This window comes from Homo sapiens, chromosome 6, assembly GCF_000001405.40.
Source record: "Homo sapiens chromosome 6, GRCh38.p14 Primary Assembly".
NCBI classification, from domain to species: Eukaryota; Metazoa; Chordata; class Mammalia; order Primates; family Hominidae; genus Homo; species Homo sapiens.
This window is the reverse complement of record NC_000006.12, coordinates 36824237-36842256: the sequence shown is the minus strand read 5'-3', so window position 1 is coordinate 36842256 and position 18020 is coordinate 36824237. Positions and strand designations below refer to the sequence as shown.

General features: G+C 52.4%; 1 protein-coding gene across 14 annotated transcripts in view, besides 3 other annotated features; it reads left to right on the top strand.

Moving 5' to 3' along the window:
* Positions 905-1455: an enhancer, noted in NCBI's record as "H3K4me1 hESC enhancer chr6:36808578-36809128 (GRCh37/hg19 assembly coordinates)". NCBI's record gives its function as "activates a minimal SCP1, AML or CMV promoter by ChIP-STARR-seq in primed H9 embryonic stem cells {active_cell/tissue: H9 hESC(primed)}" and the evidence as "EXISTENCE:reporter gene assay evidence [ECO:0000049][PMID:30033119]".
* Positions 2140-2349: a silencer, noted in NCBI's record as "silent region_17121". NCBI's record gives its function as "represses an Ori minimal core promoter by ATAC-STARR-seq in GM12878 lymphoblastoid cells {active_cell/tissue: GM12878}" and the evidence as "EXISTENCE:reporter gene assay evidence [ECO:0000049][PMID:35858748]".
* The window catches only part of CPNE5 (copine 5), a 99224-nt gene continuing 83462 nt past the window's right edge, over positions 2259-18020 (top strand). For 9 of the 14 annotated variants that reach the window (XR_007059285.1, NM_020939.2, NM_001410887.1 and 6 more), the window contains exon 1: positions 2813-2974. Coding sequence is in view for 9 of the 14 variants with exons in the window: in NM_020939.2 (NP_065990.1) it covers positions 2880-2974 (95 nt within the window). In the remaining 5 variants the exon portion in view is untranslated. Of the gene's footprint in view, positions 2975-3474; positions 3562-14812; positions 14930-18020 lie in introns of those variants that run through there. The other 5 variants (XM_011514770.2, XM_047419190.1, NR_164866.1 and 2 more) reach the window with 3 other exon arrangements.
* Positions 16450-16744: a silencer, noted in NCBI's record as "tiled region #12831; HepG2 Repressive non-DNase unmatched - State 20:ReprD, and K562 Repressive DNase matched - State 8:EnhW". NCBI's record gives its function as "represses a minimal TATA promoter and a strong SV40 promoter by Sharpr-MPRA in HepG2 and K562 cells {active_cell/tissue: HepG2 | K562}" and the evidence as "EXISTENCE:reporter gene assay evidence [ECO:0000049][PMID:27701403]".

The window sequence follows — 18020 nt, the reverse complement described above, 5'->3', positions numbered from 1 at the left end:
GAGCCTAGGACTGCACCCAGCACACAGCATGTGTCATATATATACATTTTTTTCTTTTTTCTTTTTCTTTTCTTTTCTTTTCTTTTTTCTTTTTCTTTTTTTTTTTTTTTTTTTTTGCCAAATAGCCAGCAGTGAAAGTGCAACGACTAAAAGGGAATGGAGTGACACAGACAAGTGTCTACAAGAGACCCTGGGGCTGCTACTCCAAATGCTGTCACTTTGCAAGGTTACTGGGTAGAACTTCAATCTTACTACTCACCTGCTCAACAACCTGCAATGGCTCCCTATTGTTGCCTTTCCCAACAAGGCCTCATTTCATGGATGATTTTCCATCGTCTGGCCCTATCCTAAAAGAGAGTGGAGCCTCTTGCTCAGAGTCAGGCTTTGGTCTCAACTGCCTTGTTTCACATTCTCACTATGCCAGTCCCCAGCTGGGTGATGATGAGTAAGTTACTTAGCCTCTCTGGGCACTGGCTTCCTTACTTATTAAATGTAGATAATATTAGGTTGGTGCAAAGTAACTGCAGCTTTTCCCATTAAAAGTAATAATATCTCACTTATAAAATTATTTTGAGAATTTAAAATCATGCACGGTCCCTGTGAATATGCTACAAACCGCTGATTTATACAACTTAAAATGGTAATTTTATGGTATGTGACTAATATTTCAAAAAAAAAAAGTAAGCATGGTGTCTGGCCCAGATCTTTGAAAATAAAACGATGCTAATTATTGTTATGAACAAGGTTTCCCAAGGCCCTGTCACTGGGCCAGGCACACAGCAGATGCTCAGTAAACACTCCTGGAATGAATGGAGAACATATTCCACAAGCATGCTTTGAGCATTGTTTATGCCAGGTATGTGGGGGATGGGGAACATAGAGATTCCGAGTTCAGTTTTGCATCCTCAGGAAGGGAAGACAGAATTATTCTCCTTGGAGTGGGGCCTCCTGACCCAGCTGTGCCTGGCTGTCAGGGGAATTAACAGCCTCTGTCCCTTGCTGCCTGTTCCAGGAGGCAGAACCCAGTCCAGCTGATTCTGAGCCATGGGGAAATTGTAACAGGCAGAGGAATGTGTTCTTGTATTTATCTTTGACTGACAGTATCTGATGTTCCAGGAATTGACTTCAAACAGAATCCGGAGGAGCCCCTTATGGTCCCGCTGCCACAAACAAGGCCCAGAGAGCGCAACTCTGCCCAGCCCAGCACCAGGTTTTTGGCCTCCCCGCCGGCCCGAGGCACATCGGCTTCGATGTGCCAGGCGGTGGGCGAGGAAGTGGAGGTTCCAGCTCGGCAAAGCTTAGGCTGAGGCTGAGGATGGGCTAGAGTCAAGTCTACGTGTGCAGCCTTACTCAGGGAGACGCCTCTGCGCTGCAACCTCATGCCCGGGAGGGCAAGGCTGGGCTAGGGCGGGGGATCGCGAGGGGCTTGGCTGGGAAGAGGACTGCAGGAGAGGTGTCCCAACTCTCCCCTCGCTCGCCAGGCACACAGCACGCGCCTACTCGGTGCTGGCTGCATAGAAGCCCAGGGAGCTCGGGCCGATCTCCCAGTCTGGTTGCCACCAGACTGGGTGGCAGGAGCTTCTAGACCTGGAGGCTGGCTCAGTCGTGTGGTCACGACGGGCGGGGGAGTGGAAGGGCGCTGGCGCGTGGTTTCGGCAGCCGACTTGGCGAGGCCGCGGCTGGCGGGAACCACGGATGGGGGAGGCGCCCATGCACCGACCCCACCTGGGCCACTGGGAAACCGAGGTAGTCCCTCCTGGCACTGGGGTCGCCCCCACACACCTCCCCAGAAGGAGATGTAGGGTCTGTTTCTGAACTGAGACCCGCCCCCGAGTAGGGCGCACACTCAGCAGAGACCCTCCACACCCAAGCCCCTGGGAGGGGATCTTTTTTGCACACCTCCCTCCCACTTATGCCCCCTCTCAACCCTGCATAGACCTTTCTCAAAAAGGCGCCCGTTGGTTCCCATAACCCTCCCCCTCCCCCAGGATGGAGACCCCTGATGGGAGATAGGGGTGGTGAGAGGGGGCGGGCGCAAATGAAGATGCGCGCGACCAGGACCACCTCTTGCTGTCACCCGCCACGTCCCCAGCATCTGGACCGCGTCCCCCGGCCCGCCACGCGCGCACACACACACACACGCGCACACACACACGCTCACACTCACCCTGCGCGCAGACCCCGCCCGCGGCCCCGCCCCGGCCCCTGCGGGCGCCCCCTCTGGCGTTCCCGGGCGGCGGGAGGCTGCGGCTTCGGGCAGATTTGATTTTCCCGCAGCCCGGGCGCCCCGGAGCCGAAGCCCGAGCCGAGGAGGTGGCGCTCGCAGCCGCGTCTCAGCCCCGTCGCCGCCGGCGCCAAGACCCAGGGAGAGGCGGCGCAGCCCGGGCGCTCGGGCTCCGCGCTGCCGGCGCCCCGCCACCCCCGCCGCCAGCGCCCCATCCGGCGCCTCCCGCTCCTCACGCCCCTCTCCCTGTCTTCTGCATCCCCTCTACCTCTGCCCACAGACGCGCGTCCCTCTCCTGGTGCCCCTCTCCACGACTCCGCGTTTCCCTCCCGGTGCCCTCTCCCCGAGCCCCTCTCCCCGCGCCCCTCTCTGCCTTCCCCGCTGTGCCCCCGCTCCCTGGGCTCCTTGCCCTTCCCCACTGGGCCCCTAGCCTCCTCGCGGCGTCACCCGAGCCCCCTCCTCGATCCGCGGCCCCCGCTCCCTCCGCCCTCTTCCCTCTCTCACTTCCCACGCCCCCTCTTCGCGCTCCTCTCTCCTCCCCTTGCCGCCCAGCCCAGGCTCTGGAGTTGGGGGAGAGCCCAGGGCTCCAGTCGCTCCGGAGGAGGCGTGAATCGCGCAGGGATTGACTAATTTGGGGTGGGGGGTGCGGTGGGCGATGGAGCAGCCTGAGGACATGGCGTCGCTGAGCGAGTTCGACTCCTTGGCGGGCAGCATCCCGGCCACCAAGGTGGAGATCACCGTGTCCTGCAGGTGAGCCTCCCGCTGGCCGGGTCCCCTTGCCCCGGCCCTGGACGCAGAGCCCCGCGGCCCCTGCCGCTTCGATCCTAAACCTCCGCGCGCCCCCTTCCCAGAGTGTCCTGGTCTCCAGGACTGCGCCCCTGCCGATCTGCCAAGAGCCCCTGTCCTGTCCAGCTGCGGGTGGCGACGGCAGAATAGGAAGCCAGGCTGGGGTCATATCCCAGAAAGTTTGCGCTCCAGGCTGTTGCATCGAGGAGATATGAAGACACAGGAACAGGGGGTCCAGGCACCCAAGTGGGGAGAGGGAGTTGGTAAAAGGCTGTACTACGGTCTCTGCTCAGGCTATCTCTGATCACCCCATCCCCAAATCACGAAGTGAGTGATTTGCCCCCATCCCTCCCAGGCTCGTCCACCCTCTCCCTTCTGTGCCCTCCTCTCTTCTCTCTTTGCCCCTTCTTTGCCCCAGCATCCTGATCCTCCCCTCACCAGTCTCCCCCACCCCACTGTCCTAGACTCTAGGATTTTAAAGCCTTCCTTCATCTCTATCAACAACGAAATCGACTCCTGGAAAAGGATCAGATTGACTCATTCATACTAAGGTGTGGATACATGATAACAACTTAAAGTGGCACCATTAAAAAAATAACTTGGGTCAAAAATCTTAAGCCAAAGGAATAGAACACTGATTGTGAAACTGTAGAGTCCAACAGAGGAGGAGGGGGAATATTTTTGTGGGCTACCACGCCCAAATCTTCACTCATGTCACACAGGGTTTGGGGGTAACTTCTCTGTCTAAGAGCTGGGTCGACCCCAGGTTCTCCTAGCTAGGGGAAGGCTGCCCCTGGCAGTAAGAGGGTATGGGTGGCAAAGGGGGATTTTTCCCTAGTTCAGTCTCTCTGTGGCTGGCCTAGGATCATGTGCTGCCACGCAAGCATCACCCACTTTGAGGTTCCCCCACAGAGGCCATGCCCCCTGCCCCAGATCACCGACAGCATTTCTGGAGCCCTGGCTGTGCCCTTGTTCGAAATCACCCATCTCATCCTCTTCCAGGTTGCTCCTTGGTCAGACCCTCCATGAGAGGTAACCTTGTTGCCCCCCAGTCCTGTATTACAAAGTTGTGGCATTGATGAGGTGTAGGTAGAGCTGGAGAGTCTGGGCAGGGGCGTGAAGGAGGGAAGGACTCAGTGTGACTTTCTCTTGAAGACTTGGGGATAAGTGGCAGTGAAGGCTAGTCTGGTTGAACGTAGCTTCCCCCCTAAGCCAGGCCCTCTGGGGGCTCCTGTGATAGCTCCCAGGTCCCATACACCATGCCGTCAGGATCATCTCCCAACGCCATTTGCATCTTGTCATTACTCTGCTGGGAGATTCCTGATGGCCCATTAGCTCCAGTCTCACCTCCTCAGCCATCAAAAGCAGCACGGCCTCCCCACCCTTCTCCTGCACGCACATCCCTGCGCCTGGCACTCCCTCCCAGCCTTCAATCATGCCTGTCATCTTCAGTTGTCTTGGGATCCTTCCCACCTCCAAGCCTCTGAACAGCCCATTCCCCATCCAGATTTCACTCTTCCTTTATCTCCCCAAGTTCATGATCCCCCCACTCCTGAAAAGCCTGGCCTCACGCTCCCCACTTTCAGGCATCCTCTCACCCATGAGACACACAGCTCAAATCATTGTCTTCTGTGTCCCGTGGGCCCTAGGTACTCAGCCTGGGCCACAGGGTCACTCACATACTGAGGATGAAACCTCTTGAGACGTCTCAGGTGTGCAGACGTCATCCCTCCCCTCTCAAAGCAACTGTGTAAGCATTTGAGGGCAGGGATTCCCACCCTGAGTCAGACCCATGCACCCTCTACTCCAGTGGAGAGGAAAGGAGATGGAGGGCAGATAGTGTGGCTTTGGAGTCAGATACCTTGAAACAGAATCTCTGCTTCACCACTTGGGGCAAATTTTAAGCCTCAGTTTCCCCCACCTGTCAGGTACAAACAATAAGCAGCATGTACTCATGGAGAAACCTTGTTCACCAAGGTAGCTCATGTGCTTAGAGCAGTGCCTGGCACTTGCCAAATACTGTTGGAGGAATTAACTTGCAGGAGTGGAGGAGCATGAAGCACCTAGCAAGCTACTTTGCACTTGCTTGGCACACAGTAGGTGCTCAATAAGTAGCTACAATGATCACCGGAAGGCGGTAGCACCTGGCCCCTCCTGTTTGCTTTCTGGAAGTAAAGATGTCCAAAGGACTCAAACCTCTTGCATAAGAGGCCTTCCTGGGGGATGTGGTTCTGGGGCTGACCCTGGGTCAATACCCTTTTGGGGGACATGATCCATGAGCTGAGGAAGGCCCTGACCTGGGGCCTGCTCATGTTCTCCAGAAAGCCAGAGGTGGGGGGAAGTGGGTTTTGGTGGGGAGAGATGAGGAGGGAGCAGTCACTTAGAACAGAGGGGAGGTGAGAAAACAGTCTGGGTGGCCTGGAAATTGTAGATGCATCTCTCTGCCTCAGCCAGGCCCAACTATTCAGGTTCTAGAACAGAGAGAAAGAGGAGGAGGAAAAGGAGGAGGAGAGGAGCACAGGGAGGAGGGAGAAATGCAGACAGTGGCTTTCTCCAGCATATTCTTCACTCCATGGTCGCCAGTTAAAGTCAAGTCCCTCCCCACTGCACCCGCTCTCAGGGCTCCAGGAGAGGAGGCTCTGGGGAGGCTCTGCCCTGGGCATCTGAGTGACACCTGCTGGTGGGCCCAGAACAGTAGGGCAGGCAGAGGGGCTGGCAGGTGAGAACTCCAGGGGGTTTCAGGATGGGCAGCTGGGGTAGAGGGGCCAATGTTTCAGGGAAGATTATGAGTTGCCACCTCTGGCTCCCAGGAACACTTGTTTCCACTTGCCTTCCTCCTCATGAAGGGGCCTACCACTCCCCTACCACAGAGCCTTCTTCTGCTCTGTGCCTAGGGGAGGATCCTGCACCTGCTGTGCCCATCCTAGGGCTCAGCTAGCTAAGCAAAGCTGCCTGGCACAGGTGCACATCTGAGTCAGAGCACAGGGCCACCACGGGGCCAAGTCTCCACTGAAGGCAAATGACACTGGGGATGGACAGTTTCAGGCCCCTGCTTCAGGTAGAGTATACTATACTCCCAAACAATTATTTTTACTGACTGTGGTAAACTCAGGGCCCAAGATTAGAAAGCCTTTGGTTATTTGGCACAACGGTTATGAATGTGAGCCCTGGAATCTGTCTCCTTGGTTTCAAATCCCAGCTCTCTTCCTATGACCTTGGGTAAGCTACTAAGCTGTCTATGCCTCAGTTTCCCCATCTGTAAAGAAAGCATAATGATCCTTATCAGTTATGAGGCTTAAATGAAGTAATCCATGAATAGCGACTGATGTTGTTGCTTATTTGATACCTGGAAGTTAATAAAAATTTGCCTCTATAGCTGGCTCCCAGGGTCTGTGTGTGTCCTGGAGATCTGATCAATCTAGAGATTCTTTTTTTTTTTTTTGAGACGGAGTTTTTGCTCTGTTGCCCAGGCTGGAGTGCTGGAGTGCAAAGGCGCGATCTCAGCTCACTGCAACCTCCGCTTTCTGGGTTCAAGTGATTCTCCTACCTCAGTCTACTGAGTAACTGGAATTACAGGTGCCTGCCTCCACACAGGGCTAATTTTTGTATTTTTAGTAGAGACAAGGTTTCACCATGTTGGCCAGGCTGGTCTCGAACTCTTGACCTCAGGTGATCCACCAGCCTTAGCCTCCCAAAGTGCTAGGATTACAGGCGTCAGCCACTGTGCCCTGCCAATCTAGAGATTCTTAAGGGTTGTTTTGGAAGTGAGTAGGGCAGATGGTTTGTGGAACTAGATACCAGTAGACATCATAAAAAATGTGACTTTAAAGACCCTCCTCCCTCGAGCCAAGAGCTCTTCCTTCCTCTGATGGCCTGTTCTAGACCCTTCCTGACTGTGTGAGCCATCCTGCCGAGTCAATCAAAACTTACCTGTCTGACGTTCCATTCTCCAAAGGCGCCACTATTTTTCAGGTCTCCACGCAGGGATCTGGCCCAGCATGTTGGTTAGAAAGAATGATTTGCATTTTTTACATAACAAGAAACCTTTGCACTTGCGCAGGGTCCTGCTGGAGAAGCAATGCACAGTTCCACATGGTGGGTTCCCAAGACCCAGGGAAGACGCGGCGGGGCGAGTCTGGAAGCAGCCCATTGCTTAGCCCTGCTGGCTTCCCTCTCCCCACCAGCTGGTATGGGGCTGGTGGGCAGCTGTTGTTCTGCCCCAGAGATATTGTTTTCTGCTGTCTGTTCGGGTTGGCGTTTTGTTGCCCTGGAGCCAGAGAGGCAGCCCGGCTCAGGAGCTGTGCCCTGGGTCTCTCAGAAGGGGTGTGAACAGCTCTGAGCGCTTTCTTCTGACAGGCAGGGAGAGGGTGGTTTGGGGGAGGGAGGAGCCTGGGGGAGGGCGGCAGCTGTCAAAGCCAGTGCTAGGAAAAGAAGTCCATTTAACCATTGAATACACTAAGGTACTCAGGTCAGTGGAGCTAGGGGAATAATAACAGTGGCATTTACTGAGTGCCTACTGCATGCTAGGCACTTTACATCATATTAGGCTGAACCGTATGCAATTTCTACACTCAACTTTTTTTTTTTTTTTGAGATGGAGTCTCGTTCTGTCATCCAGGGTAGAGTACAGTGGCCCAATCTCGGCTCACTGCAACCTCTGCCTACTGGGTTCAAGCGATTCTCCTGCCTCAGCCTCTTGAGTAGCTGAGATTACAGGCATGCACCATCACGCCCGGCTGAGTTTTGTATTTTTACTGGAGACGGGGTTTCACCATGTTGGTCAGGCTGGTCTTGAACTGCTGACCTCAGGTGATCGGCCTGCCTCGGCCTTCCAAATTGCCGGGATTGCAGGCATGAGCTACCGCACCCAGCCCATCTGTTTTTAACCTATTCAAATAAATAACACAACTTGTTTTTTTTTTCTTTCCTTCCTTCCTCCCTCCCTCCCTCCCTCCCTCCCTTCCTTCCTTTTTTTTTTTTTTTTTTTTTTTTGAGATACAGTCTCTGTTGCCCAAGCTGGAATGCAGTGGTAGAGTCACAGCTCAATGCAGCCTCCAACTCCTGGGCTCAAGCGATCCTCCTGCCTTAGCCTCCTGAGTTGCCAGGACTACAGGCGCACACACACCACCACATCTAGCTAATTTTTAAATTTTTTTTGATTTTTTTTTGTTCGTTTGTTTTGTAGAGGTGAGGTCATACTCGGTTGCCCAGGCTGATTGGCTGATCTCAAACTCCTAGTCTGAAGCAGTCCTCCAGCCTGTGCCTCTCAAAGTGCTGGGATTAGGTGTGAGCCACTGCACCTGGCCTCACATAATACTTTTATATATTTCAAACTAAGGTTATTATATTAGTTCTCAATTGCTATGTGACAAATTACCACAAACTTAGTGGCTTTGAACTACAGCCATTTCTCATTTCCTAGTTTCTGTAGGTTAGAAGTCCAGGCATGACATAAAGTGGCTTTTCTGCTCAGGGTCTCACTAGGCTGGAATCAAGGTATTGGCAGGGCTGTGGTCTTATCCAAGGCTCTGAGTCCTCCTCCAAGCTCACCGGTGGGTGGCAGAATTCAATTTCTTGCAGCAGATAGATTAAAGTTCTGTTTTCTTCCTGGTTATTGGACCAGAGTGACTCTCAGCTCCTAGAGTCCACCCCCAGGCCCTTGCCACATGGCCCCCTCACAGCATGGCAGCTCATTTCTTCAAGGTCAGCAGGAGAATCTCTCCTAATCTGCTATGACAGAGTCTTATGTAAAGTAACTGTAATCACAAGAGTGAATATCTGATCGCCTTTGTTATACATCATAACCCAATCGCATGAGTGACTAACCTATCATATTCCCAGGTCCCGCCCACTCTCAAGGGGAGGGGATTATACAGACGTGTGTGCCACGAGACTGGAATCTTGGAGGCCATCTTATATTTCTGCCAATCACAATTGCTACGTCTTTTAAACTAGGATAGATAGATAGTAGTATTTTCTCTTTTTGCTGATTAGGAAATTGAGGCTCAGAGAGGTGAAGGGACTTGGCCAAGGTTACACAGTGAGTACACTTTGGAGAGAGGGATCCAACTCCTATTCCCTCAGACTTAAGACCTTGAGGGCTTCTTGAGATTGGAGGTTGGGTTCTCCAGGAGGATGGTGGTGGAGGCCTGAGTACCAACTATGGTAGGTGTGACCAAAAGGTAGGCAGTCTCTCCCCAGGGATGGGAGAGGCCTTCCTTGCTAACAGCTGCCTGTGGTTCTGAGCAGCAAACCCAGAACTGGAGGAATCCTTGGGGAGCAGAAACCACAAAAAGTCACAGGATGGAAGCCAGCCTTCGATGCCATCCAGACCGCACGGTAGTAGTTTACCATCCCTCCTTTCCCAGCTCACAGTTCACCCTGTTTAGACTCAAGGCGATACTCGAGATGGTCTACCCTTGGGAAGAAAGGGTAGGGAGGAGGCTGGGGAATTAGGCTGGAAAGCTCTGGGGCAGAGAGGAGTCAGGCTTGGGTAGGAATGATTCAGCTGTAGGTAACAGAAAATCTGACTGATGGTGGCTTAAACTTGATATGCATTTATTTTTCTCAGATCACAATGAATCTGGAGGTAGGTTATATCAGGGCTACTTTGTCAGCTCACTTTATCATCAAGGACCCAGTCGTCTTTGTATTTTGCTATCATCTTAGCAGTAGGCCTCGTTGTTACAAAATGGCTGCCTCTGCTTCAGGCATCACAACTGCATCCAAAGACAGGAAGCTAGGCATGAGGCCAGAGTCCTCTCTCTGAAAAGTTCTTTTTACCGGGAAAGTACAATCCTTTCCAAAGTCTCTCAGCAAACTTTCCTTTCTATTTCAGGGGCCAAAGCTGGGTCTCATGTGCACTCCTAGACTAGGGACAGGGGCCATCTTCCCGGATTTCAGGGAGTCGTCATCAGATCTAAACAATGTGGATTCTGTCAGCAGGAAGAGAGTGGGCAATGTTTGCTGGATGGGCAAACGTGGCATCTATGGGGCCATTTGGAAAGTAAGGAGGCTTTCCAAGAGCCTAGAATTTGCATCTCTGAGGCCTGCTCCTCAGATTTTCCTACGGTCAATGGACAGTGGACAGTGTTAGGTGACTGATTCTCCAAGCACAGCTTGACTGAACCCATGACTGCCTTTCTTTCTGCCTGTTTGCCAGCCAAGAATAAAAAGGCTTAGTGTGATTTCAAATCATTGCAAGGTTCCCTAAGGTCTCTTCTGCTGGCCTCACACAGACCTCATAGTAACAACAGGACAGCTTTATACCTTTGGGTATGGAAGAATCCTGGCCAGGACACTGAAAGTCAGTGCCACTCCTGGCTTATCTTCTCTGGGATCCTGGCCAGATTATTTAAGTTCTCCAACCTCAGTTTCTCCATTTGTAAACTGGTGGAAAATACTGGTCCTGTCCACATCCTCTGTCTTCATTGTTCTGAAGACTAAAGAGATTAAGTCTGTGACATTCTATATAAACTGTAATGTGCTAAATCAGTTTAATCATGGTAATAGGTACCAATAACTGAACACTACTGACACATTCATTTATTTGATAATTGATATTGATCTTCATTTGCTATTGAGAGGCCTTTTTTTTTTTTTTTTTTTGAGATGGTGTCTCACTCTGTCACCCAGCCTGGAGTGCAGTGGCGTGATCTCTGCTCACTGCAGCCTCCACCTCCCTGGCCAACATGGTGAAACCCCGTTTCTATTAAAAATACAAAAATTAGCCAGGTGTGGTGGCGGGCGCCTGTAATCCCAGCTACTCGAGAAGCTGAGGCAGGTGAATTGCTTGAACCTGGGAGGCGGAGGTTGCAGTGAGCTGATATTGTACCACTGCACTCCAGCCTGGTTGACAGCAAGACTCTGTCTCAAAATAAAAAATAAAAAGAGTCCGGGTGCGGTGGCTGTAGCCTGTAATCCCAGCACTTTGAGAGGCCAAGATGGGCAGATCACTTGAGGTCAGGAGTTCAAGACCAGTCTGGCCAACATGGCGAAACCACATCTCTACTGAAAATACAAAAATTAGCCGGGTGTGGTGGTATGTGCCTGTAATCCCAGCTACTCTGGAGGCTGAGGCAGGAGAATAGCTTGAACCCAGGAGGCGGAGGTTGCAGTGAGCTGAGATTGCACCACTGCACTCCAGCCTGGGCAACAGAGTGAGATTCCATCTCAAAAAAATAAAAAATAAAATAAATAAAATAAAAAGAATTCTGGTCATCGTGAAGAGAAGGGACTGATGAAGGGTAGAGAGAGGCAGGCATGGAAGCACATTGCTAGGCAGAAGACTACTGAGGCCTCCAAGTGAGAGATGATACTGATGGTGGCATGGGGAGGAGTGGACAGATCTGGGATATATTTTGAAGTAGAAACATTTAAAACTTGCTGATGGGACAGGAGGGGGAATAAGGGAAAGAGAGGAATTGAGTGTGCTTCCTACGTTTCTGTTTGAAGCTGTTGACTTCACAGCAACTCCACAGGCAGGTATGTGACCCCATGCCCAGATGAGGAAACTGAGATGAAGCACCTTGTCAGGGCCACATGTCGCCATGTGGGGACTCCAGCTCAGAAGCATCTGAGGCCAGAGCTCCTGCTCTTTTCCCTTGGCCATGTAGTGTGAGAGGGACAATTATTACAATAATTAATAACAATAAAAATGCAAATTGCCCCAGGAAGGAGAGCTCTTTAAGCCATGTGAAAATTGCTTTTTAGACCTTGGTGAGGTTGCTTGGCAGGGAAGCAGAGCACGCGGGTGAGAACAGGATCTGAAAGGGGAGATGGGTAAGTGCCAGGGGCTAGGTGCCAAGGCTTCTCTCCTCCCAGCTCCCGCCCTGCTTTCCTCGGATTACTTCTGCCTTTTAGGTCTGGGAGCTGGGCAGGAGGACATGGGAAACCCTCCCATTCTCCTCTTCAGTCGTTTGTTTGGGAGCAGCTCCGAGAGGCTGAGGATGGGAAGCAGGACAGTGAGGATAAGACGGAGCATTGCTGGCCCAGATGGGGCTTTGGGAGTCCTTGGCTTTGGTAGTGCAAGCACTCCCCAGGGCACCTTTAAATGAGCTTGAGCTTCAGAGTTCAGAGTTCACATTTCTGCATGCCTCTTGACAAGCCGGTGACATCAGGCACATCGCTCAGCCTCTGTGGCCTTGCCTATAGAATGGGAGCAAAGTCTACTTTCTGGCGTTGATATGGAGGGTAAATAGAGTGTCACAGGCTAAGTACATGACAAAGGACTTGGCACAGATTATATACTTGTTGGGTGTCATCTCTCTCCCACTCCATTTGCCAGATGTTTATGCAAATTGCTCCATGCAGAAATGGGGTGACGCTGGTCAGTACCTCAGGGGCCTCTGTGGGACCATCAGGATTCCTGTTGGGTATTTTTTTTTTTTTTTTTTTGCAATTCCTACACTCAACTTTTTTTTTTTTTTTTTTTTGAGATGGAGCCACACTCTGTCACCCAGGCTGGAATGCAGTGACGTGATCTCGGCTCACTGCAACCTCTGCTTCCCGGGTTCAAGCGATTCTCCTGCCTCAGCCTCCCGAGTAGCTGGGACTACAGGTGTCTGCCACCATGACTGGATAATTTTTGTATTTTTAGGAGAGACAGGGTTTCACCATATTGGTCAGGCTGGTCTCGAACTCCTGACCTCAAGTGATCCACCCACCTTGGCCTCCCAAAGTGCTGGGATTACAGGTGTGAGCCACCGTGCCCAGCCTTCTGTTTCTTTATTTATGTATTTATTTATTTTTGAGACAGGGTCTCGCTCTGTCACCCAGGCTGGAGTGCAGTGGTGTGATCACGGCTCACTGCAACCTTGACCTCCTGGGCTCAAGAGATCCTCCCACCCCAGCCTCTTGAGTAGCTGGGACTACAGATACACACCACCACACCCGGCTAATTTTGTTTATTTTTTTTAGAGACAGGGTCTCCGTATGTTGCCCACACTGGTCTCAAACTCCTGGCCTCAAGTGATCCTCCTGCCTCAGCCTCCCAAAGTGTTGGGATTATAGGCATGAGCCACCAAGCCCAGCCAGGATTCCCGTTTCTACCTGACCTTGGCTCTCCTGTCCCCACTCTCTCCTCAAGGAAGGCTATGCAACCAGTCAGCAGTGGTGGGCAAGGGTAGTAGGGCTTGGGTCCTGCTAAAGCCAAGCTTTAGGGAGAAGAGAGGGGGGAATATGGAGCATTCTTAGGTGCCATCTTCATTCTCCACAGGCCTTTGTTGAGCACTTATTGTATGCCAGGCACTGCATTGCAACTTACTATGTGAGTTTAATCTCACAAAACTCCTGGGAGGGGGGGACTGTTATTAGCCCTTCTTTACAAATGGGAATACTGATGCACAGAGAAGCTAAATGACATGCCAGAGGTCATATAGCAAGTAAGGGACAGAGTTGGGTGTTGGATTCAGAGATGAAGCTTGAAGTCTATGCTCTCAATGCCCCCACTTTTCACCCCCAAGGTTGGACGGATGCTTAGGGTGAGTTGTTGGGAAGAAGATACACCACCTTTTCTTGAGCTTTTTAGACTCATGAATGTCTTCGGGTAGCTAATGAAAGCTCTCCAGAAGAATGTATCCATATATGTGGTATCCGTATATACCAATATGCCATACTTTGCCTATTGGGGGCCCATGACCTCCATTATGGGTCCTGCCCCAGGAAAATGTTTCTTTCTATGCTGAAGCCAAAGCCTTTGCTCAGTGCATTGATGCAGCACTTCTGGGCTTTGTTTAGAGACAACCAGGGATGCGTGATGGTCAGTTCACCCAGCATCTCAGCTCAAGAGCAAATATGCCTTTCTGGCTGAGGATTCCCTGAGGCAGAGGCTATGTCTCCTGGTCAGACCGGGCTCCCTGAGTGCAGGGTTGTATCTCCCTCTCGGATGGTACACCCCAGCCTCTACCCATACCTTTCTTTTTTTTTTTTTTTTTTTTTGGTTTGTTGTTGTTGTTTTAGAGATGGAATCTCACTGTGTTGCTGAGGCTAGTCTCGAACTCCTGAGCTCAAGTGATCCTCCCTCCTTGGAGTCCCGAGTAGCTAAGACTACATGTGCCCAGCTTCTTTCTTAAGCTCCCCCAGATGGGAGGTGTTACCCTGTGGCCCCTCCTTTAGCACCTGCCAAGGGCTCTCATTTTGCCCTTCCAGTGTTTTCTGTCCTTGCTGGGGCCTTGGAGACTTCTGACCTCACAGCCCAATGAATGACCATTTTCTCACTGCCACTGAATTGGAAATGATTCCGCAAGGGGAAGCAGGGAGGAAAGGGGCTCTTGGCTCTGCTTCCTGGCCTTGATTTAAGGAACAAAAGAAGCCAAGCTCCAGGCTGCTGTGCAGACAGCGGAAGGGTTGTATGCTCTTTTAGAAAAAAAAAAAATACGTTTTTCCTGCTAAAAAAAATTTCTCTTTGTGCTCTCCAAAGAAAGAAAGTGGAGAAAAAGTACTTGTGGTCTGGTCTTGTCTGTGCCCTGGTGTCTCGGGCCCTTCGTCAGGGCGGAAGACCCGGTTTCCTCCCCCAGGCTTTTGGCTGTGTGCTTGTGGGCAAGTGACTCATTGCCCCTGGGCCTGGAAGTCCTCAGTGGATCATGGTGAGGATCAGTGGGGAAGGCGCTTTACCTCGAAGAAACTTCTGGTGCTACACGTGTGTGTGTTGTGGTCTGTGCCTTTGCAGCGGGGGAAACTGAGGCCCTAAGAGACGGTGTCTCAACATGTGGTATTTGGACGGCTGCCATCAGAGACATAATAGGGGGATCTCTGGCGGCCACTTGGATAAACATGGCCTCTGGAGCCCTGCTTCAGACCTACACAGCCAGACTTGGAACAGAGCCCAAGGAACTGCCATTTTATACCCCGGGGCAGGGGTGAGCCCCAGAAGTGCGAGGCCCATTGTTCACGGGGTGAAGCCACCCGTCCAAAGCCAAGGTAGGAGGTTTAGCAGGCTCTGAGGGTTCTGTCTGGACAGGCAGTTAGGGAGAGGGATGGACGGAGGCAAGTGTGGACGAGGTGTGGGATCAGAGGGTGTAGGGCGCAGGGACATAGGCGAGAGGCAGAAGGTCCTCAAGGCTGAGAGTGGGGAATGGAACGGAGGCTGAAGAGGGGCTGAGCTGGGGAAGGGACTCAGCAGGGAGCCCTGGGAGTGTGTTGGGGGCGGGCTTCTTCCTTGGACCTGTGAGGGTGGAGATTGCTTGTGCTGCGCTTGTCACCAAGTGTGCCTGAGCATCCACCGGGAGAGTGACGGCTCCACTCAGCACCGGGCCAACGACAGCTGACCTGTCTGACAAGGCTGACGAGGTCCCAGGTGCTCCACATATCGAATCTCCACAGCAGCCCTGAACTATTTTTACTGTGCCCCACCCCCCACTTTACAGATGGGGAAACTGAGGCACAAGGTGAGCAAACCCAGCTTGTCTGACTGCAGAGCCCATGCACTTAACTACTACATGCCACAGCTGAGAGGAAGTGCAAGGGGCCGTCCCTGAGCTTGACCGTGTGCCACCCAGGTGGGGAGATACGGGCTTCGCTCACCCATCTGGCCATTCTTTTTGGTCGTCCTTCATCCATCCAGCTTGCCAGGCCACTACTCTGACTCAGGTGCTAGGCTGGCCTGTGGCAGGGTGGGAAACTCTGCCATGGAGGCATGCACAGCCAGTGTGAGAGACAGATACACCCATGATTTTGCAACCGATCGTGTACAGAGTATGTAATGGGGTCCTACGAGTCAGAGGGCTGCACACTCCAGGCCAGAGAGAGCTCAGGGGAGAGGAGAGGAAGTAGCTGTCCATCAGTGTCCAGGAAAGGCAAAACTGAGGAAGGACAGGAATAGTCTGGAAGGATGGCAAGAATAATTTCAGCAGAGTGGGGAAGAGAGGGTTTGCTTTATCCTGGGGTGCTGGTTGCCAGGGTGACCCTTGTCCCAGGATTCGGTGAGGGTCTTGAGGTCACCAGGCAAGGAGCCAGGTGGCTAGATTCTGTTTCTTAGTCTAGCTGTGTGCCTCTAGCCCAGCTGGGAAGTGGGCAGGACCAGGGAAAGCCCCATCTACTTGTCTTTGAGGATAAGACCTCCCCCTCCCACCGCCCATAACACATGCGCATGCACACACGCAAACACACACACGTATCTAGGCTGATATCCAGGGCCTCACTCTCTTTCTCCCTAGCCTGGATATGACCAGATCCGAGTTCTAGAGCCACACTTGGAGGAGACCCAGACCTTGGAGGAGTTAAGCGTTGTCCTTCCGAGTCTCACAGTCCTGATTTGTAAAGGAGTTGGGAAAGGTGACCTCTGAGGTCCTCTCCAGCTTGAACATTCGAGGATTTTATGTCATTGCTGAATTTCATTATAGAATTCAAAGATAAACCTAAAGCGCTTGCTTTAGTAGAGAAGTCCCCCTCCTCCTTATCACTTTCAGCTCCTCACTGTGCCTCAGGTTCCACCACTGTAGAGTCACCTTTGGTCTCAAGGCATTTGTCCTTTGTTTAAATCAAGATAGACACCCCTACCCCCAAACTTAGCACACTTCAGGATGAGAATGTCGGCCCAGGGAAGTCAGCCCGCCTCGGTGTGAATGACTGTATGTAGAAGTGGTGTCTCACGTGCAGCCCCTGCTGCCTACTTCTCAGAGATGCCTTGTTTATCGTTCATCTGATGCTCTCTGTGGAGGGCTGGGAGGTTTATCAGATGGTTTCCGAAATGACAGCTGACTGGGAGCAGGTCTGGTCTGGTGGAGGGGCCAGTGGTGGCCAGGAGAGAGGTGGTTGCCTGTGGGGTCAGGGAGGCCCAGTTGGGGGTGGCTGCCTTTGGGGAGTGGCCCCTGGATGTAGAGACTGGAGTTGGGGAGGGGTGAGAGTTCTCCAGGGACTGGTTTCCTGAAGCCATTTGGGAATTCCTCTCTTGGGGGCATCTCTAGGAATCTGCTCAGGGACTGGAGCTGGGGGTATTAATGAATGCAATCTGGGGCTTCCCCAGGCACCAGAGGATGCCATGTGTAGGCCTCAGGCTGCTGTTGCGTTTGTCCATCTGTTGATTGATTTTTGGCTCCCACCTTAGGGCGTGGGGCATGAGTGGTAGGGTTGATTATGGGGTCAAGTTGCCCGACAGGCTGTCACTGCCGAGGGCTTTGGTGACACTGACTCAGGGTAAGGCCTCCTTCTAGACTTTTCTGTCTCTACCACTGCTTGCTGTGGGCCACGGTCGCCCTTTGCCTCTCCCTGGTCTTTCATGTCCCCATCATGGAGGAGAAAGAGGAACAGATCCTCCTCAGGGCCTCATCTAGCTCTGACATTTGTTTGTTTTGTTTTGTTGTTGTTGCTGCTGCTGTTGTTTTGAAAAAGGCTGGAGTGCAGTGGTGCGATCTCAGCTCACTGCAACCTCCACCTCCCTGTTTCAAGTGATCCTCCTGCCTCAGGCTCCTGAGTAGTTGGGATTACAGGCGCATACCACCATGCCGGGCTAATTTTTGTATTTTTAGTAGAGATGGGTTTCACCATGTTGGCCAGGCTGGTCTCGAACTCCCGACCTCAAGTGATCCACATGCCTCAGCCTCCCAAAGTGCTGGGAATACAGGCATGAGCAGCCACACCCGGCCTAGCTCTGATATTTGAAGTTGGCTTTCGGGAAGCAACACAGACCAGTGTTGACTGTTTCTTTTCTCCAGAAAAGCAGTTCAAGGGGCAGAGGCCCCTGTGGGGGGTTGTGGGAGTAGAGAAGGAAGGTGACAAGATCCTTTGGGACCTCCGGAAGGGAGGCGGGACAAGGCTGAGATGGTTGGGAAAAGAACCAAGACTTGAGGGCAGTGTTGGCAGGAGTAGCCGCACAGGCAGGAAGGGCTTGTCTGGCAGCTTACAGGGGAAGCAGGGAAGGGAAGACCTGGTCAGCGTGGGATGTGTTCATGGGTAGGTCTCCTGGCGGCCCCTGGGGCTCAGTCCCTCTGGCACTTCGGAGAGACTGTAGAGCAGAGCTGTCTCCAGGGTGAGTGAAGAAGCTGAGCAGTCAGTCCTCCAGCCCCTTCCTGTT